The 22190-nt window shown below is 50.0% G+C and overlaps 1 protein-coding gene across 3 annotated transcripts in view; it reads right to left on the reverse strand.

The window, feature by feature from the left end:
- The window catches only part of SCARA5 (scavenger receptor class A member 5), a 122791-nt gene extending 111229 nt beyond the window's left edge, over window positions 1–11562 (reverse strand). For all 3 annotated transcript variants that reach the window (NM_001413201.1, NM_173833.6, NM_001413202.1), the window contains exons 1-2: window positions 11146–11562; window positions 6393–6519 (exon numbers count right to left, since the gene is read on the reverse strand). In NM_001413201.1, the coding sequence (NP_001400130.1) occupies window positions 6393–6504 (112 nt within the window). In that variant the 5' untranslated portion in view covers window positions 6505–6519; window positions 11146–11562. The remainder of the gene's footprint in view (window positions 1–6392; window positions 6520–11145) is intronic.
- Window positions 11563–22190: the final 10628 nt, after the last annotated feature.

Raw genomic sequence — 22190 nt, forward strand, 5'->3', positions numbered from 1 at the left:
GTTATATCATGTAATCCTCCCACAATGCCTGTGGGGTTAGTAACATTATTCTCACTTTGCAGACAAGGACACTCAAGATTAGCAGGTCAGGGCCCTGGCAGAAACAGAAGGCTCCCTCAGATTAGGACACATCACAGGGTTTCATAAAAGGAATGTCTCAAAGGTGTGGCCAGGGTGTGACACCCAGAAGGACAGAGCAGCATTTGCGGGCTGTAACCACCCTTGGGCCCAAAGGGTCAGGGATGGGAGCAGTTGCCAGAACCTGGAAGGGGAAAAGCCCAGGTGGACAGGGCAGCTTTAAAGGAGCTGTGGTCTTTGGTGGAGGGACAGGAGCAGCCCTGGGTGACTCCACAGGGCAGAAGCCGGAGGAGTAAGTGCTCCAGCTTCCCTGTCTCCCCTCACCCACCTCCTGCCGGGGCTCCCCCGTGAGTTGAGTAAAGAACAGTGTACGGCACGTGGGGATGGCGGGACAAACAGAACCCCCTGCACTGGGTCTGAGTTCACGCATGCAAGGACAACACAACTCGTGTGTGCACCATGGTTTCACATCCAGCCCTGACACACTGCAACACGTGTCACCAAGCCACTCCCATCTTATAGAGGGACAGCCCATTGGGCAAGAGAGACCTGGAACACGCCTGGCCACTGGCTCCCCCGGGGACCACAGACCTGCCTAACAGAGCCATGCTCTCTGCTTGGCATGGGCTGTAGCTCTGAACTGGGTTAATAGTCCCCTCTCCTGCACCAGAGCCTGATGCGGCAACCTGTAAACGGCGGTGACTCTTCCAGAGGCCCCAGCCAGCCCCTCCCAGGAAATCCATTCCCATCTTTGGGCAGCAGCCCAGCAGCCCTCAGCTGCGCCAAGTGAACCGGGGAGATCTGACGGATATGAAGGTAGATGAGGAGGATATTTTCATTTTATGGGGAAGGAACACAGGAATGGGGAGGCCGGGCCTGGAGGCAGCGAGCGGCCCGGCTGCAGGCGTCGGCAGCTGCCAGGAGCATGTGTAACTCATTACCCCCAGGTCCTATTTGCGGCCATGGATGACGCCACGAGTGGAGGGGGCTGGGGCCGTGGGGGCGAATGGGACTGCAGTATTTTTCTGACACTAACACCTCTCTCTGGCCCTCGGAAAGTGCTGTGGAGGAACCAGGCCCAGCCAGTCCCCACCCACTCCCAGATCGGCCTCCTCCTCCACCTCCTGGCGCCAGACTGGAGAGGCCCCGGCTGCATATCGGGGAAACCAAGGCGGGAGAAAGGAAGGTGGGGGTGGGGTGGGGGGCGGGAGGAGGGAGGCCAGATCACCGGTGCCTGGGGTTCTGTTCAGAGGGTGGTGTGAGTGAGCATCCATCAGAGGCCGCTAGAGGCAGCTTGGCTCAGGAACCTTCCAGGTCCTATTTGGGCTTGGCCCTTCCAAGCAGTTCCAGCCCCACAGGAGGATGCTCGGCTATTGCCCAGGATCCACGAGGTGAGGAGGATGGGGCCTTCCATCAACAGTGGGCCCCGAGGAGGACAGCAATGGCCAAGACGCAAGGGAGGAGGCAGATTCCAGAGGTGGCCCCGCCCAGGCATGCAGAGAAGGGAGGCTCTAAAGGCATCAGAGAGCAAGGGGTACCTGCGGGGCCTTGAAGGATGCAGGGACAGGACGAGCTGGAGGAGCTGGGCAAGATGGCTGCTCAGGGAGGGGACAGAGAACCAAGGCACCCAACAGTCCCTCCTCTTCCCATCTCACCTGGCAAGTGAAGAAAGGGAAGGGATAAAGGCAGGGAGGGTGAAGAGAAATGAGGGGCGAGAAGGAAAGAGAAAAAAACAGCAGGTCCGGTGCAGGAGTGGAACGGTGCCTGCAGGAGCTGCTCTGCTAGAGGAGGGTCCCTTCCTCTGCGCTGAGGAAGCTCCCTGGGCATCGAGCCCCCACTCAGCCCATACCCCAAGGGTGTCCCCTCACCTCCTCTCTTGCTTTTCCTGCTCTCACCTCTGGTGGTGGCTGCAGGGAGCTCCTTTCATCTCTGGACTGACCACCTGCCCAAGCCCATAAAAGAGGGACTCCTCAGCACTTCTGCCTGCAGGAAGTGCTACCTTGTCCAATGGGTGAGCTGTCTGTAACCTGGCATTTCTTGTCCCTGTTTCTCAGGTGGATGGGCAGGAGGGCGTGTGTGGGTGAACCAGGTGAAGGCTGGTGCCTGGACAGGGGCACTCACGCTTGCTGGCTGGGTGAGTGTCTGTTGGGGGTGCCAGCAGCCACATCGTGAACAGAGCTTTTCCAGGCTTAAGGCAGATTCTGCACTTGGATTCCCACATGCCTCCTTGTCTATTTCCCAATTGGTTCCAAATCCAGAAGTGAGGGGAGTCACTCCTTGGCACCATCAGTCCAACCCCGTGAAATCCCCATCCTGGGAAGGAGCCTGCATCTCAGGTAAGGAGACTCAGAGTCCGGTTCCAGCTCCACCACTGATGACTTGAGTGGACTTACCACATCATTTACCAACAATCACAAAGACTTCTGGGACATCTGCCACCTACAAGGTCCCGAAAGAATTCCCAGAGGAGCAAAACACAGTCCTGACCTCTCCGGTCTCAGTGAAGATGAGTCCTGCACTCCACAGCACATGGGCCATGAGAGTGGGGCAGCTCATCACACCCAGCAGGAACACTGGGGAGCCTGCCAGTGACCGGACCCGGGACTCAGCAGGTCCCACCACCAGGGAAGGCTGCATCTTACCTTCATGTCAGGGCTGTACTTTTGGGACTTTGCCTCCCCTGATCCCACTATCCCCATGGCCAGCCTCCAACAAGAAGTGCCATCTCTCCTCCCCTCTTCCCACCTCTCGCCCTCCATTGAAGGAGGAAGACCTGTAAGGGACTTGGAGCTTGTCCTGGACCTCACACTTCACCGTCTTCATTTACTAAATAAAGGCTCAAGGGCGGCCCTGACCGGATTCAGGGTGCTGGCTCTCCCTTCCTTTCCCATCTCTTCCCAACTTCCCCCTCCTCCCTCCCTGCCTGGCCCCACCCTTTCCTCTTCCTCTCCCATTTCACTCCGCAGAGATAAGGATCAAAGATGCAGCAAAACCCTTCTAAAGGGTTTCTAAAACAGATCAAATCTGGCTTGAATTTCCCCAAGTCAAGCTCATCATTTTCCTCTCTGAAATGAAAGGAAAAGGGGGAAAAATCAAATTGGAAGCCCACAAGCTTTGAAGTCACTGGCTTCATCTCAACACTCTACTCTGCCTGGGTTCCCCATATTCCAGCCCCCAACCTGGCAGCCAGGAATGAAGATGGACCCAGAGAATTCGGCAATCAGGTGTAGATGGTGAATGCTTTGCCACATTTAGACTTCGAGGACCCCTCTGTTTATCCATCCATTCATTCATTCATCTATTTATTTATTCATTCATCTATCCATTCATTCATCCATCTATCCATTCATTCATCCATCCATCCATTCATTCACCCATCCATTCATTCACCCATCCATTCATTCATCCATCCATTCATCCATCCATCCATGCATCCATCCATCCATTCATTCACCCATCCATTCATTCATCCATCCATTCACCCATCCATCCATGCATCCATCCATCCATTCATCCGTCCATCCAGCTATCCATCTATCCATTCATTATTCATCCATTTATTCATTCATTCACATATCCATTCATTCATTCATCCATCCATTCACCCATTCATCCATCCATTCATCCATCCTTTCATCTATCCATCTATTCATCCATCCAGCTATCCATCCATCCATCCATCCATTCATTCATTTACTCATTCATTCATCCATCCATTTATTCATTCATCCATTCACCCATTCATCCATCCATTCATTCATCCATCTATCCATTCATTCATCCATCCATCTATTCCCTTCATTCATCCATCCACCCATTCATCCATTCATTCAAAAAATGCCTAGTGAGCACTTACTGTATGCTGGGCTCAGGAGACATCAATAAGCAAAACAGAGATGCCTACTGTGGTCCAGCCTATATTCTTGCCTCAGGGAATGGATAATAAATGATACATGTAAATAAGGAGACTACAGTGTCATGAGGAAGTCAGACCACGGAAGAAAGGAAAAAAGAGTCAGGGAAAGGGGGATGGAAACTCAGGCCTCGCAGAAGGTGGGAGCTGAGCTAAGTCCTGGGGGAGGTGAGAGCATGGACCAAGTGGGAGGGGGCAGTAATGCACACTGGGGGATGCCAGGGAAGCACCCTTCTAAGGGCAAAAGACCCAGGTGAGCAAGTCAGAGATTCCCTGCCAAGGTTGGGGCAGCACAGAGGGGAGAGGCACAGGACCTCTTGGGCACATTGTCAGCACCCGAGTTTTCACTCCTGCTGAAGTGGGAGCCACAGCCATGCTTTGCCCAGCATAGTATCATATTCTAACTTGGGGTTGAAAAGGGCCACACTCCTAATTCAATGGCCAGGTCCAATTTTACACACAGAATTCTAGAACCAGATAGGACCTCAGAGATAACCCCCTGCATCCCCATTTGGCAGATGAGTACACTGAGGCCCACAGAGGGTCACATACCCAGGAGGCACGAGTCAGCCTGAGATGAGTACACTGAGGCCCACAGAGGCCCAGGAGGCACGAATCAGCCTGGACTCCACACCTCTCAACCTCTGCTGTCTGCCCTGCACCTGGGCCCTAGCATCAGGGAACCCTGGGACAGGACATGGCTAGCATGGCTCCCAAAGTGCCCTCTGACAGAGCTCCCCACAGAGGAGGGGCCCAGAAGGCGCAGTGGCTAGGGTTGCTGTTAATTTCCAGTCGTTCTGGTCCAAATGAGCTTTTTAAAAAAACAATCTGGGGTTCAGAAAAAGGGAGAGTAAGATGAGGTACTAGGAAGTGGGTATGGTGGTCCCAGGGACATCTGACCCCTCCCACCCCTGAGGCCCCCCAGGCTGGCCCTGATAGTCCTCTCCAATCACCCCACTGTGCTGTACCCAGTCTTTCTTGCCAAACCAAGCCCCTTTGCTGATGTGCCAGTGGATATGGATGCCACCTTCCCCTTTGCGGATGGACTGATGGGAGCTCTGCATGGGACCAGAACCCCAGGCCTTCTCCTCCGCCTGACTGGTGTGAGCCTTACAGAAACCTGACCCAGCTTGGTGTCACACAAATAGGAATATCTTTCCCACATCTTCTCTTAGACAATCTCCTTCAGTCTTCCAGCCCTTTTCCAGAAAGCCCTCTGCTCGCCTGACTTTATTATTCACACACATTTTGGCCTACTGTATATTATAGGCAGTTGTTCCCATGCCAGCCTCTTCTACTGGGATCATAAGCCCTTTGAGGACAGAGATTTTTTAATTTGTGTTTGGAGAATCCCTGGCTGCTCACCCTGGCCTGACACGTCGTGGATCCTCAAAATATGTTTGTCAATTGGAATCCAGAAGAAGAGCCACCATGGTGGACAATCCTAGGGCTGGGTGAGCAGGTTCATTGGTCAGAAGCCCAAATCTCCTTGTGTCCTCTGCCTGCAGAGACTCTCCCCACTCTAAGCCACCACGGTTCTTTCCCTACACTCAGCGCCTTGTGGGAGGAATGCAGGGTCGGAGGAAGAGAAGAGTGGAGTCATTGCTCTTGAGTAATTTCAAGAGGCAGTTGGCAGAGTGGAGCAAAACAAGAGAGGAAAAGGCCTGTCTCTCCTTGGCCGGAAGTCTTTGCAAGGCTCCTCAGTAAGCTTCATTCTATTTCTCTTTGACGTGGGGGCAATGCTCTCCTCTCTGACATGTGCTGCATGCAGCAAGAACTTATCAGTCATCTACTGGGTGCACAGGAGCCAAGCTGGTGGAAAAGCGCTCTGGGCTCCTCCAAAGGAAGCTGCATCACTTGGATCTCCAGGGTTTTAGCAAATAAGCAGCCCCTGAGATGCAAGGCCTTCTGGGTCACTGGCCTGGGGACCCCTTTCTGTGGCAAGACCAGGGCCTTGCACCCAGGGGCAGGATGAGCACCTTGGAGAGCTCTTTGCCCCTCACGAGTGCTTCAGGAAGTGGGTGGGAGGCCCCTCTCCTCACCTGAGAGGGTCTGCACTGACTGGCTCAGAGGCCCTTGCCTGACCCGAGTCTCACTCTCTCAGGAGCAGAAGCATGGCCCTCGGAGTCAGGAGGCTCCATGCTGGACCACCATAAGACTGATGGACTGTGAAATCTGTCCATCTGTAAAATGAGTACTCATCTTGCTGACAGGTTTGTGGAAGTGAATGAATGAGAAAACCCATGGAGAAGACCTTTTAAAGCATAAAGTTCAATATATGCACTATTACATGAGGAGGTCACAAGCACTTAAAGGCAATGCCAAGGTTGGGTGGTGGTAGGGCTCCTTCCCCACCCCCAGGCCAGATCTTGTGCCCCAAGTCTGAGCCAGCTGCACTCACCATCCTCACACAGGTTCAGCTTGGACAGGCTCCTGCCATCAAAGGAATCCTCACAGATGGAGCTGGTGTCACAGTCGCTGACGGTGTGTAGGTACATAGCTTTGTTCTCCATCACACCCTGCAACAGCTGCAGAGAAGGCAAGAGGGGAGGAGAGGGAGGACGAAGGCCGGGAGAGAGACAGAGAATCAACTGTAGGTGGAAACAGAAGCAAATGGATAGAACAAGGTGCCCACCCCTGACCCTAAGCCTGAACACCGGGACCCTCTGCTCATCACCAGGACCCAGGTGCCATCCTCCAGGTCCTTGGGGCCGTGATGCCCCCACTCCCAGCTTCCTCAGGGCTTCAGAAGACCAAGGCCCTTGGGCCTTTCTGATGGTGGGATGTGTCCATTCCTTTCAACAACTCTCAGTGGGGCTGGAATCCTGAGCTGGGGTCACTGTGGGTTACACTGGGTGGGGCCAGGAGGAGGGAACCCTGCTGACTCAAAAGGTAACCTGAGAGCAGGCTCTGAGCCCTCAGAAGCCCGGGGCATGCCAGAGAGACTTGAGCTTCTGTTCTGTGTTGGAAATGAAGGAAGGAAACTAGATATGAAGGGGCATTCAGAGGGGGTACAGAGTCCACTTGCAAACAAAGCTGAGCAGACCAGGACTGCTCCCAAATCCAACGGGGCTGGCATGTTGGAAGGAGCTTGGCTCAGTAGGACCACAGCAGGGATTCATCTACTGTGGTGGGGCCCGAGGAGCAGGGAGCCTCTGAAGGGACACCCAGGCACTAAGCATCTGGACAGCTTTAGGCCAGGGAGGGCTTCTGTCTGCATGGCCCCCAGAGGCTGACTCATTGGGTCTCTGGGTCTACGCCATGATGGTCCAGGAGCATATACATTGACTTAGGAGAATCCTATGCTCTTTGAAAGGAAACAGCCTGTTGACGCAACAATGTGTACAACACGATCCCATTTTGTAAGACATGCACGCGTAAGGTGCGTGTGGATGTAAGACGCTATGATGGCTCCGGGTGAGAAATGTATTACAGGACTCTGGCTGGAAGGGATTGTGGGGATTTAATATTCCTTTTTGCTTTCAGATTTTCTGGGTTTTCTATGATGCATTTACATTCCTTATGTAATGAGAAGAATCTGTTTTTTAAGCCAAATTACAAAGTATATACATCAATTTCTTGATATTGTTTTTGTCACATAAATGCTCAGTGACTTTACAAATTATTCTCTACTTTCATCAAGGTTCCAGCCATGAGTTTATCTTGACCTTTGCTTCTGATTCTCTTTAACTATCTGGACATTTAACCAAAGAACAGCATCCTTTAGAAGATAAAAGCCCCATGAGGATGGGTCCCAGGCCCAGTATGGAGCAAACTCAACCCTTCAACCCAGAGGAGGCTGGGAGGAGAGGATGCAGGGCTGGCAGGTGGCAGTGGGGGGACAATGCCTGTTGATTGAGAGATCAGTCAATCAGTTTCTCTTCAGAGGGAGGGTGGGCAAGGAGGCGTGGCAACTTTCATAAATAGACATAATCAGGGAAGGCGGCTGGCGGGGTTGCTCTGCAGCAGAGCAAAACAAGAATTCCGTATTTTCTTTCTTCTTTTTTTTTTTCTGTTTCTTTCTTTCTTTTTTTTTTTTTTTTTTTTTTTTGAGACAGGGTCTCACTCTGTTGCCCAGGCTGGATGGCAGTGGTGCAGTCTTGGCTCACTGCAACCTCCGCCTCCCGGGCTCAAGTGATCCTCCCAACTCATCCTCCTGAGTAGCTGGGATTACAGGCACAAGCCACCATGTCCAGCTAATTTTTTGCAGAGATGGGGTTTCACCATGTTGGCCAGGCTGGTCTGGAACTCCTGGAGTCAAGCGCTCCACTGGCCTCAGCCTCCCAAAGTGCTGAGATTACAGGTGTGAGCCACTGCACCCAGCTGAAGCCCCTATTTTCATGACTTGAGCTTGGCCTCCACAGACCTCTGACATTTGGGCTGAGAAGAGACCAGAACTGACCAGTCACTGTATACATGTCCTTCTAATGACCCAGGAGGGCTGGACGCCTCTGCTGTTAGCCCTTCTGTACATCCCCCATAACGGGCACACACACGCATGTGCACACACACAGCCTTGGGGCTCCCAGTATCTGCGGGCCTCTCCTCCAGCCTATGGGAGGGATGGAACAGGGGGTGGTCCTCGGCTCTGCCAGGATCTCTCCTCCCTGCCCCAGACACCACCCACTCTGGCTTCCCTGTGCTGCAGTGGTGTCCAGTTCACTGGGCTCCCAATTCCGGCCCTCCACCCAATGCCTCCACCCAGGCAGGGCCTCTAGGTGGGGCCGCGGGCAGCTCCAGCACTGCTAAGTTGCAAGGGACCCTCCCTCATTTCATGAGCACTGTGTGCGGCAGCCCTCCCTCTGGCTTCACTCCTTGCGGGGCTGTGAAGCAGGAGGCCAATGTCTCTTTTGCCTGCAATAACCCTCCCTCTGCCAAAGGCAATAGCCTCTGCTTCCCAGAGGCCACACAGAGCCAGACAGGGCGCTGCCCCTGGGGAGTGGAGGTGTGAGGCCCCACTGCCATTTCCACCTTCCTCCTCTTCTGGTCAGCTCCTGGGACGGGGCTGGAATGCACGGCTTGTTAGCCAGAATGTGTGTGAAGGGCAGCTGTCTCCTTCCTCCTCCCCACCCCTCAGCTGGTCCAGCAGGAGCCCAGGGGATCTGCTGGGGAGAGGGACTGGGGCCGAGCGGGGCCAGATGTGAGTGCACAGGGCTTGGAAAAGCTCAGACAACTCTACTCATGTTTGTTACTTGGAATTGAAACCTACGCATGTTCTGTCTGCCCAAGGTTTCTTGGGGGCTGTTTTTCTTTCTTGGGGGAGGAAGCAGGCATTGGGACCCTCAGATCATGGATCTTACTGTCTTTGGACCAAGTCTGTGCTCTAGAAGATGAAACTGATGGCAAGTGCTCCTCCCAGGAGCACTGTGTTGGGGGTAGGCTGATGGCATTTGCATTCCGTCCCTCCCATTTTAAACATAAGCCATCCCAGACCAAAGAGGCAAAGGAAGGAATGGATATCAGAGCGGGAAGAGGCCCCGGGCACAGTTTTCCTACACAGGGCACTGGCTCAGCTGCAGGGTTGCTTTGTTTGGGAATTGCATGTCAGCCCCTTTGGTGACCACTTTCTGGGCCCCAGATCAGGCAGAGAAGAGAATCCCACCTCAGACTGCCAGCCAGTGTACTCCAGCAGGTGGGGATCCTGGGACTGAGGCAGGGCTCTGAGAGCTTGAAGCACATGGGCGAGATGTGGAAGCCACAGTGACCTGTGGATGAAGCCCAAGGAGACTGGACCTCAACTTGCAACTCAAAGAGGGAGGTCTTGCTCTAACAGGGAGGTGTCACCCTCTCCACTAACCTCTTGGCAATCATGATTTACTTCCAGACAATTTCACCCAAGGCACTTAGAAGGGCAGGTTCAGAGCCAGGGATCTGCTTCTAGATTCTGCATTTTAGAGCTGGAAAAGCCCTCAGCCATCTGTGCCCTGCAGCCCTGTGCCCTGGGGCCATCTGCGCCCTGCAGGCCTGGCTCTCTGCAGGAATGCAGGGAACACAGAAGCCAAGGGCTCCCATCCTAGCTCCTCTGCGTATTGGTTTCTTGGGGGAACTTGGCTCAATTACCTGACCTCATTCAGCCTCAGGTACATGACCTCTAAGATGGGAAGGTGGGTAGCTGCTGGTCACCCAGGATCACTGTGAGCCTCCCGTGAGATAATGCATGTGGCATGACTTTATGAACAAGGTCACTCAGGGGAGCTGGTGGCAGTCTGATGAGAAAAAGCATCCCCCAGCATCTTCTGACTCTGCCTGGCAGCCAGGTAAGGGGGTGTCCAGGTTCCCAAGGCCTCCCTCCTACCTAGCCAGTCTCAGAAACAAAGCTGTTTGAAGTTCCCTTTGTAAAAGGCAATCGCGAATGCACTCTAGGGCTGATATCAGGACCCTGGCTCTTCAATCCTTCTCTGGAGATCAGAAGGACTCCATTAATTCCTCCTCTGAGTGGGTAGCACGAGCCTCATTTGCTGCTACCAAGTCAGTTTCTCTGGGTACCCGCATCTAACTCTGCAGGGTTTATGGCTTTTCTTTGGATTACCTCACTTTAAACTCATCAAAACCAAGGAAAAAAATCACATGAGTGTGGCCCTTCTCCAAAGAGAGAATCACTAAGGAGGTTTTAAATGTTTTCCTCCTCTAACTGTACTTAGTTAAGCTAAATCATAACCCAAAGCTGGACAGAGACAGATATTTTAGAAATAACCTCTCCCCACATATATCCCACCACTGGCACATGCACACGCACAGACATGCACACACACACACATGCACACACACACACATGCACACACACACATGCACACACACACATGCACACACACGAAGCCATGGAGAGGAGCTGTCACCTGAGCCATCTGCACCCTGAGTAGGCTCTTGAGCTGTGACATGAGTCAGGTGGAGTAGCCACCAAGGCAATAGCTTCCCTCTGGCACCCCAAATGCAGGCTCACATTCTCTCCAGCCCAGGCAGTTGGATGAGGGCCCGGCAGATATCTGCGGGCCCAGCAGGCGGGGACCTTCCCACCTGGAGAAGGCACCTCCAGGCTCTAGGTCTGAAGTTTCCCAAACTCTGTACTCCTCTCCATCCAGTTCACTCCAGTCTCCTCCAGCTGTCTTTGAGACAGCATGCCCAGGAGATAGGACAAAATTAGTACCAAGACTCACCTGAGTGCCCCTGGCTGAGGCTGTAGAGCCTTGTCCCCTCAGATCTCAGCATTTGCCATGGTGGCCAGAGAGCTGGCTGCCACCACGCTGAGAGCCAGGCCGCCCCTCGGACCGCGTCCCCACAGCCAGCCAAATCCAGATGGAGTCATAGAAAGGGGCTGCAGGGGCGCCCAGGGACGAGTCTCAGAGCAGGACCACAGGGGCCACTTCTGCAGGAGGACCAGGTCAAGATGCAACCTGTGGCAGAGTGGGGGTCTGGGCCTGGGGGACCCAGAATGGGGGGTGTGCGCCTGGGACTCCCTGTCCTTGGTGCCTGGTCCTGGGTAGCGATCAGGAGATGTTCTGAGGAGGCACCGGCAGCTCCTCTAGGTACTGCCTGAGATGCGAACTGCAGCTGCTCTCGCCGCCAGTCCGTATAAAATAAAGTTCTTGGAGCAGTTGCGGAGGCTTCTGCAATGGGGTCTGGAATACGGCCCCCCTCCTGCGGCCAATCGTGGCATTACAGCCCCGTGTGGGAACGCCCGCTGGGCCCAGAGCAGCGCGGTCGGCCTTGGCCTTGGGACTCCAACACCCCAGTCTAAAGGTCCTGCTCAAAATACTTTTTGGAAGACTTCTGGGGGAGTGGCAGCTAGACCTGGCTTATGAGCCACGCAAGAAAACCAGTCTTGTAAATTTATTTATAGCACAGAATTGGCATGGCTCAATTCATTCACCAAGCTTGGCACAGAGTTACTTCATGTATTTTCCTGGAGTCACATTCATCCTCAGTGGACACGGATTGGCCACACTGGGGGTAGTCAGGAAAATGCCCCAGGGGGTTCCACGGAACTCAGCAGCAGAATCAGCGTTTCTGGCTCATTAACGCTGCACAGGGGCTGGGGGGTGCAGGATGAAGACTAGCTGGCTGTCCATAGCAATTCAGTATGGGAGGGGGACCCAGGCACGAATAATCCTAAACCTGAGCATGATTGCTTACGTTTGAAAAAGGACATCTAGGCCGGGTGCAGTGACTCACACCTGTGGTCCCAGCACTTTGGGAGGCTGAGGTGGGAGGATTGCTTGAGCCCACCCACAAGTTCAAGACCAGCCTGGGCAACATAGTGAGACCCCATCTCTAAAAAAAAAAAAAATCTCTTTAAAGGCAATCTAACCATATGTGAAGGGAGCTGCTAAATTCAGATTGAGGTGGTAGTATCAGGGGCATCAGAGAAATCACCATAATTGTCCAAGCCAGGGTGGCAGAGTTAGGCTATGCAGATGGCTTCCAGAGGACAGCACCCAGAGGTAACATTCATGAATGCATTCCTGTTTGTTGGTGAAAAGTTCAGCCTCAAGACTCCAGGGTCAGGCTTCGTACATGAAAAGTGTTTGCCAAGACTCAGCTGTGTCACTGCAGCTGCCCGCCCACAGCTGAGTCAGAAACGCCGTCCTCATTCTCAGTGACTGCCCTGCCTGACTGCCTAGGAAGCAGCTCCAACATCAAACTCCATTTTACAGAAAGAACAAATGATAATTGTATCATTATGGTAATAATCCCAGGGAGCGGAGGAGGAGAAGGAAAAGAAGACAACACTTTATAGCATATACCATGTGTTTCTTATATATTAGCTCATTGAACCTATTCAACAACCCCCTGAGGCAGGTGCTGCTATTATGCTCATTTACAGAGACAGAGAGGAAGTGACTTGTCCAGGGTCTTGTAGCCAGTAAGTGGCAGAGCTAGTATTCAACCCTAGGCAATGTGATCCTAGGGTCTATGCTCTTAACCCCTCCCCTGTACCATTGCCTCTCAAGGGGAAACAAATGTTTTTGTCCCCCATCAATTCACCAACATTCCTAGGAATGTAATCTTAAAAACAGCCAGAAATGTGCTCAAAATATGATGTCCAACCAGCCTGGGCAACATGACAAAACCCTGTCTCTACAAAAAAAAAAAAATACAAACAATAGCTGGGCGTGGTGATGCACACCTGTAGTCCCAGGTGCTTGGGAGGCTGAGATGGGAGGATCAACTGAGCCCAGGAGTTTGAGGCTGCAGTGAGCTGTGATCGCACCACTGCACCCCAGACTGGGTAACAGAACAAGATCCTGTCTTAAAAAAAAAAGTGATGTCCAAAGACCTTCCCTAAAGAGATGTGTATGTTAGCAAGAAATGTGGTAGTTAGTGTCCCCCTAAATTCAAGCATTGGAAATGTAATCTTTATTGCAACAGTGTTGGGAGGTGGGGCCTTTGTGGGGGTATTTGAGTCATGAATGTATTTGGGATGCCGTAGAAAGGGCTTGCAGGAGTGGGCTGGCTTGATCCTCTGCCTTTCTGCCATGTGAGGACTCCACGCTCATCCTCGCTTGTCCTCCCACCTCCCGCCCTGTTCGAAGCACTGAGTCCTATTGCGTGATAGGCACATACCACACACAATGTGTATATCGGTCTCCTGCTGAAGGGGGTTTGGGATGTTTCCAATCTTTGTCTATTATGAATAAAGCTGCCGGAACAGGCAAAGGGAGATTTGACAGTGAAGTATAGGAATGACCTGGAGGGCTGGTTTTCTCATGGGTGAGAGTCCTCCCGGCAGCTCTTAGCTCAGATACCTCCTTGCCACTAAAATCAGAATTGTCCCCAAAATGATTTGCTTCCATTCAATCACGGATGGCATTTGTAGTAGGCATTTCCCCCCCAGAAGCTGAATGAAAATGTGATTGCCTTGATAGAGGAGGGTTCAATAGACTTCTGAAGTAGTTTCATCTATGAAATCTCAGTATTTGAAATGGAGGGACCAAGCTTTTTCAGTTTGTTTTTTCTAGAGGTAGGATGTCACTTTATCACCCAGGTCGGAGTACAGTGGCACAATCATAGCTCACTGCAGCCTCGACCTCCCAGGCTCAAGTGATCCTCCCACCTCAACCTCCTGAGTAGCTGGGGCTACAAGCACATGCCACCACACCCAGCTAATTTTTTAAAATCCTTTGTAGAGATGAGGTCTCGCTATCTTGCCCAGGCTGGTCTCAAACTTCTGACCTCGAGCAATCCTCCCGCCTCCACCAGCCAAAGTGCTGGGATTACAGGTGTGAGCCACCATGTCCAGACTCCATTTTTGACTCTGATAAATGGTGCTGCTGTGAACATTCTTGTGTGTGTCTTCTGGGGAACATATGAATGCCATTCTCTTGGGCATATACCTGGGCATGGAATCGCCAGGGCATAGGATGGCCCTGTGTTCAGCTTTGGTAGACACTGCCAAAGAGTTTCCTATGGTGGTTGTACTAGTTTATATCCAGCAGGGGATGAAACTACACTTATTCCTTGTCCTTGTCAGTGTCAGTGATGTTTATTCCATTTTCCCTGCTCTGGTGCATTGTAGAGGTGCCATATTGTGGTTTTAATTTGCATTTTCCTGATGACTCATGAAGTTGAGCACCTTTAATTATGTCATTAAGTCTGATTGTTGACTTGAACTCTGGGCCCGTTACACCAGCAGGTCCTGCCCTATGGCTTGGGGTTGGCTGTTCCATCTGCCTGGAGTGGTTCCACCAGATGTTTGCACAACTAACTTCTTTGCCTCATTCCCATCTTTTCTCAAATGTCACTTTGTTCATGCTGCTGAGCCTAATGATTCCTACCCACAGGCCAGGCATGGTGGCTCACGCCTACAATCCCAGCACTTTGGGAGGCCAAAGCGGGAGGATCACTTAAGGTCAGGAGTTTGAGACCAGCCTGGTCAACATGGTGAAAACCTGTCTCTACCGAAAATACAAAAATTAGCTGGGTGCAGTAGCAGGCACCTGTAGTCCCAGCTACTCGGGAGGCCGAGGTGGGAGGATCACTTGAACCAGGCAGGCCGAAGCTGCAGTGAGCCAGGATTGCACCACTGCACTCCAGCCTGGGTGATAAAGCGAGACCTGATCTCAAATAAATAAATAAATAAAATTGCTACACACCCCTTGCCACTCTTAGTCCCCCTCACCCTGCTTGGTTTTGCTTACTGTCTGCTAGAACAGCAGCTCCAGGAAGGCAGCTCACTTGAGTGCTTCAAAATGCCTAGCAGGGTGCCTGGCGCACAGTACACGCTCCAGAAATATTGGTTGTGTGACAATCTGAGGAAACAGCATCAGGCACAGGGAACAGAAGGCTCAGAGGCCTCAGTATGGAAACACACTGGACATGCCGGAGGGGCAGAGAAAGGCCCAGTGGCCAGAGCACAGAGGATGCAGTGGCCAGAGAGAGGAGGTCAGGGGAGAGGGAAGCCTGGGTCTCACCCTGAGCACAGAGTGGAGCTGAGGCCACGCCCTTCTTTTTTGTCTCTATCTTCTCCCAGGGAACACATCGATCCTGTACTGTTCATATTTTTGCTTCTTTTTTTTTTTTTTTTTACATATTTCTTCATTATAGTTTGCTACTTCTTGTTTAAACTTTTTAAAAAAATTAATTGTGGTAAAACACACATTGCATAAAATTTGCCATCCTAACCCTTATTTATTTGTTTGTTTGTTTGTTTATTTATTTATTTATTTATTTATTTATTGAGACAGAGTCTTACTCTGTGGCCCAGGCTGGAGTGCAGTGGCGTGATCTCAGCTCACTGCAACCTCCACCTCCTGGGCTTAAGCAATTCTCCTGCCTCAGCCTCCCAAGTAGCTGGGATTACAGGGGTGAACCACCACGCCCAGCTAATTTTTGCATTTTTAGTAGAGACGGGGGGTTCGCCATGTTGGCCAGGCTGGTCTCAAACTCAAATGATCCACCCGCCTCAGCTTCCTAAAGTGCTGCGATCACAGGTATGAGTCACCATGCTCAGCCCTAACTGTTTTTAAATACATAGTTCAGTAGTGTTAAGTACATTTGAATTGATGTTCAACCAGTCTCCAGAACTCTTTTCATCTTTCAATACTGAAACTCCACTCATTCAACAACTCCCCGTCCCCTGTCCTCCAGCCCCTGGCACCACTCATTCTCCTTTCTGTCTCTTTGAATTTGACTACCCCAGGGACCTTGCTATTTCTTTATCTGTGGCCTACTCTGCAAAAATACACTCGAAAATGTTTACCTTTAGTATTTTCTTTTTGGTTAGTTTTTAATCTGGTTCACATGAAATATAAGTGCTTTTCAAAAGCAATTTTTGTCCATCGTTTACAAACCAGTGTTTATCTTTTATTATTGTTCAGCTTTGTAAAAATATCTTGGTGAGAAGTATGTAATCAGCTGGGTGCGGTGGCTCACGCCTGTAATCCCAGCACTTTGGGAGGCCGAAGCAGGCAGATCACTTGAGGCCAGGAGTTGGAGACCAGCCATGGTCAAGATGGTGAAACCCTGACTCTACTAAAAATACAAAAATTAGCTGAGCATGGTGGCTCACGCCTGTAATCCCAGCTATTTGGGAGGCTGAGGCAGGAGAATCACTTGAACTCTGGAAGCAGAGGTTGCAGTGGGCTGAGATTATGCCACTGCACTCCAGCCTGGGTGACAGAGTGAGACTCTGTCTTAAAAAAAAAAAAGTATGTAATCTTTCAAAACTCAAAATTTGTATTTATCATTTTTAAAAAGTAACATTTAATCATATAATGAACATGATCTTGTTTAGGAGTTCATTTTGGTAAAAATAATTGTACACATGAAATAAGAATTTAGCCTTTGTAAAATTGTATTCAATCAATAACATAAATGTTTTCTGATTTGTCATCTTGTTTATCTCAAAGTATCCATGCAGTCTGAACTGAAGTCTGTTCATCCAGTCTGAACTGAAGTCTGTTCATCCAGTCTGAACTGAAATCCGTCAACCACCCTGACCCACAAGGTCGCTAACCCCAGCCAGCAGTAGCTAGATCTCAGGGAGGAAAAACAGATCTGAGAAAAGCGGCCTCCAAGTCAGAAAGCAGCCCAGCTTTTAACATTTTTATTTGGATTTCCTCCTCTATAATTTTCTGTATTCCCCTCTCCCCTCAAAATTATGAGTACTTTATTAATTAGAAGAAATGGCCAGGCACGGTGGCTCATGCCTGTAATCCCACTTTGAGAGGCTGAGGTGGGAGGATCGCTTGAGGCCAGGAGTTCAAAACCAGCCTCGCCAACATGACAAAACCCCATCTTTACTAAAAATATAAAAATTAGCTGGGCGTAGTGGCGGGCGCCTGTAATCCCGCTTCTCAGGAGGCTGAGGCAGGAGAATCGCTTGAATCTGGGAGGCAGAGGTTGCAGTGAGCTGAGATCGCACCATTGCACTCCAGCCTGGGCGACAGAGTGAGACTCTGTCCCAAAAAAAAAAAAAAAGAAAAGAAAAAAGAAAAAGAAAAAACTACAGTAACCTCATAAAAAGATAACTCAGATTATTTATCCTCAGCACACTAATTTATATGCTTAGCTAGGAAAGCAGGCATGTCAGCAACAAATGCCACTGTCACAAAATGCTGAATTAGGAGTAAATCCCTACACTTACAGTGTCAAGTCTTGGACTTCAATCTGATCATTCCTAAATGCACATCACTGGGCAATCGCTAAGCTTCTTGGTCTCTGTGTTGTCACGGGACATAAAAATAATAACTCCATATCACAGAATAGACAGTGGGATTAGACAGTGGCTGAGAGGCCACTGACAAACCTCATGAGATGGTCCTAGGAGTCCCTTGAAAAAGGATTCTCTGGTGAAAGCCAAAAGCATGCCTTTATTGCAGGACTTATCAGAGCTTTTAAGGTGCTCTTGAGCCTGGTAATCCTCCAAGAGGGGGATGTAGTGTTAAGGCTTCTCCATTCTCACTTGAACAGAGAATAAGGCTAGTGTTCCACAGCATGCACTGAGGGAAATTCTGAGCTGAAATTGGTAGTAGAGATGACTTTCTCAATCATTGAAAATAATTTTAGAAAAATGTTAAGGCCTACTGCTCCAAGTGCCACATCGTAAAAGACGCCCACACTGGTGGAGTCTGAGGAGGAGCCATCAGTCCTGAGAGGGCAGTAAGGCCATCTTACCTGTCCCCTTCCTGAGGAAGGGGCCACGTCCCATTTGTCATTGTCTCCCATCCTGCAGCTCAGCCCTATAAATGCGAGTGGCCTGAACACCTTGCTCAAGGCCAGGGGCCACCCCTGCCCACTAGCCTCCTCCATCCTGTCCTCTGCCACCATGACACCCACACTCCTTCTCTTGTCCCTCTCACCCCCATGCCCACCTACTGAGCCTCTGGCACTGCCTGCCCTTCACCACCACCTTCCAGACTCCCCAGCACAGCTCACCCTTCAAGGCCAGCTCAGACTCTGCCTCTCCTCTGGAGCCTCCTCTGCCAGCTGGGCCTCAGCTTCCCTAGATAATTCCAGTGCTAAGGGCTGACCACCTGCTGAAGGGCCTGAACAACATGCCTCTGGTTGCGCTGAGCTCATTAAAGGCCTGGTCCATATGTTCTACCCTTGCGGCTCCTTCTTCAGCATCTAGCCCAGTGACAGGCCCAGAGCAGATAATGAGCCCACTCTGACCAGTTGGTGTGGAGACTGAAGGAACTCCATCTTGGATGCTGACCCGCCATGTTGACTTCCAATTCACCCCAGTTCCAGGAATGCCTCTAAGATTTCTACTTTCACATACTTACCGTGAATCCTGCCGTTGGGTCTAAACAACCTTGACGTAAATCCTGCCCTTAGCAAATCCATGTTATACCCCTTCCCTGTGTTATATAAGCCCTGGGATAGGGGGTGTTGGTGTGGGGTTCTACCATCTCATCTTGTGCCCACCTAGGACATGGCAGTAGGTTTGCATAGACCTGCTCACCACAGAACGGTTGGTGATATGGATGGTAGACTTCAGAGAAGCTTCGTGAAGCAAACACTGGATTCTGAGCCATGAAGCCTGGTCTTGACTCCCATCTCCACCCTCCTCAGCCCTGTGAGGTAGGCAAGTCACAAAACTTCTTTGAACCTGAGTTTTCACATGCTGTACTACCGGGTTACTATTTCCCGGCCTTACCATCCACCTCAAGGGTGGTTATGAGGCGAAGGCACTTTGAAAATGCTGAAGCTCTTCTCTAATGTCAGCCTTACTGTTATTTTTCAGACTTAGCAGCCCCTGACAAATGGAGTATTAATCACGATGATGGGGCTCCCTATCCAGAGTCCAGCTGCTGACAGCTGGCACTGAGTCCAAGACAGCGGGAGCAAAGTTCTCTGCCTTGTGGAGTTCCCTGCGCCGTCATGGAATCCACCCAACCATCTGCTTCGTCTCGATGTGCTTGGCTCATTTTAATTCTTTTCCCAGAGTGTGGGGATGATGGATTCCGTGAGACAGCCCAGGTTTTCTGACACCGGTCCAGGGTTGTAGACAGCAAAGTCAATGAGCTTCCTCCGTGTCACGTTCATAGCCCAGAGACCCAAGAGCCAGCCTTAACTGGAACTGCTTATTTTGTCAGACTCAATGACCCAGGGTACCCTTTAAGGGATCTCTCTTGGAGTTGAGATGATGTAAAATTTGAGAATTAGATTATGATATCATTTTAATGGGGGTAATTTGTAATTGGTAGCCAAACATGTTTATTCAAATGAATCATAAGAAACTTCTCAAAACAGGGTAAGATTTGGGGCCAAAACTTGTAAGAAGGAATTTAGTGGGATGGGGCAAAATAGACACCCATGTTGGGAAAAGACACCTCTCACATACAGGATATGGAACACCAGGCTTCTCCAGGCATATAAGAAAAAATCTTACATTGGAGATGGCTTTGAGGTTGATGGAAGTCAGAAACAGTTGGGGAAAACAGCTACCAGTTGAGTAACCTTTATCTAAAATGCTTGGGACCAGAAGTGTTTTAGATTTCAGGGTGTTTGTTTGTGTGTTTGTTTGTTTGTTTTTCTGAGAAAGGGTCTTGCTCTGTTGCCCAGGCTAGAATACAGTGGCCTGATCACAGTTCCCTGAAGCCTTGACCTCTCAGGCTTAAGCGATCCACTCACCTCAGCCTGGGACTACAGGCACGCAACACCACGCCTGGCTAATGATTTTACCTTTTGTAGAGACAGGGTCTTGCTATGATGCTTAGGCTGGTCTCAGACTCCTGGGCTCAAACAGTCCTCCCGCCTCAGCCTCCCAAAGTGCTGGGATTGCAGGCCTGGACCACCGTGCCTGGCCTGGATTTCAGATTTTTTTAGATTCCAGCTCAACATCCCTAATTTGAAAATTCTAAATCCTACATGCTGCAATGAGCATTTCATTTAAGTGTCATGTTGACACTCAAAAAGTTTCGAATTTTGGAGCATTTCAGATTTTGGATTTTCAGATTCGGATACTCAACTTGCATTTCAAAACTTAAGCTGCATTAGTAAAAGCAGGATGAACAGAAAGATTGAGGATACAGAGCCTTTGAGCCCTGCGTTAATGAGCTCACAGTTGGTGTAGTATGCTCAGTTCTAGGTTCTTCTGAAAGATTTAGTCAAAACTTAGAGGGTGCCCACCAGAGTGACTAGGCTGGTGAAGGGTCCAGAGAACAACAGCAAAATGCAGTGCTTAACCCAGAGAAGAAACTATGCAACGGGGCATGACTGTGTTCTCAGATACATGAAGGGCTGTCATGCAGAGATGTAAGTTTTCTCTGAACTATCCTAGAGGGAGGGGGGAATGCCACCAAATATACAGAAGTTCTTATTCACCACTGAGCTGTCTGGACCCCAGAACCCTGGCTGACGCCTGGAAATTCCCTACCAATGGCATTGCTTAATCAGAGCTTGGGTAATCTGTACTGCATGGAAGTCTCACAGAGTAGTTTCCCGCACTGGGTGGCTGCCTGCACCCAGTAACCCCGATGCCTCTCCCAGGTCAAAGAAGGCCATTAGAAGAAAACTTTTTCCACCTTGATAAAAAGTAGCTTACAACTGACTTTGTGTTTAGTTTGCTTTGGTTGGGGAAAAGAAAGAACATTCCATGCATGTTTTTAATAGCAAGAACTAAAAACAGGAAATATTATATTCAATAAACCTAATAAGTAATACTAACAAATATATTTCAGCGGCAGATTATACCAGAAAGAGAAAAAAAATGAGAAAAAAAAGAAATAAAGGTGAAGAAAAATTGAGAAGGAATGATGGAGATAAAAGAGAGGAAAATAAGGCAAATAAATGGAAAAAGAGAGAAAGAGGGAGAGGGAGAGAGGAAAGAGGAAATGGAGGAAAACAGTGAGGAATCAGAATATAAAGTCATATAACTTATTTCCTTCTCTTCCTTCCTGAAACATAACACATATCATGGCTAGTGCAAAGTGAAGGTTTTCTTTGTTTAATTTAGATCTTATATTTATCAAAGATATGCATGTATTTTTAATAATTTAAAAAATAACCATAGCTGGGTGGGGTGGCTTGCGCCTGTAGTCCTAGCTACTAGGAAGCCTGAGGCAGCAGGATCACTTGAGCCCGGGAGTTCAAGGCTGCAATGAGCTATGATTGCACCACTGCACTCCAGCAAGATCCCATCTGTAATCATCATCATTATCATCATCGTCATCGTCATGATCATCATCATCATATAGTTCTATGAGGCTTATTATGAAAGCAACAGCTCCCCAGCCTCTCAAACCCATATCCTGTTTCCCATAGGCACCAATTTCCAACCCTTCAAGTCTTACTTTTTATATTTATCTCCACTTTTCTAAATAACATAATTATACTGCTATTTCTTTCTCTTTTTTCAGTCTTATGATTATCCATTCCAACTGTAAGGAAAAGACTTATCTCTCTTTTACTCTATTTCCCACCCATACACATGCCTTCCCCCATCCTCCTCATAGAGTTAGATCATCCTTTTGTTTAGATCATTTTTCAGCTATGACGTGAAGGCTGGACTCAGCTGGGACTGTCTACTGGACCACCTGCACATGGGCTTTCCATGTGGCTGGATTTCTCCTGGCAGGATGGCGGGGATTTGAGAGGGAGCATCCTCAGAGCAGGCATTTCTGGACCACCGGGCAGAGGATGCATGGCCTCTTCTGAATTAGCTCCAGAAGTTCTACAGCATCCTTCCCACTGCACTCTATGGATGGTGGAAGTCTCGGGCATGCCCACATCCAAGGGGAGAAGACATAGATGTCAT

The sequence above is a fragment of the Homo sapiens genome, chromosome 8, assembly GCF_000001405.40.
Source record: "Homo sapiens chromosome 8, GRCh38.p14 Primary Assembly".
NCBI lineage: Eukaryota > Metazoa > Chordata > Mammalia > Primates > Hominidae > Homo > Homo sapiens.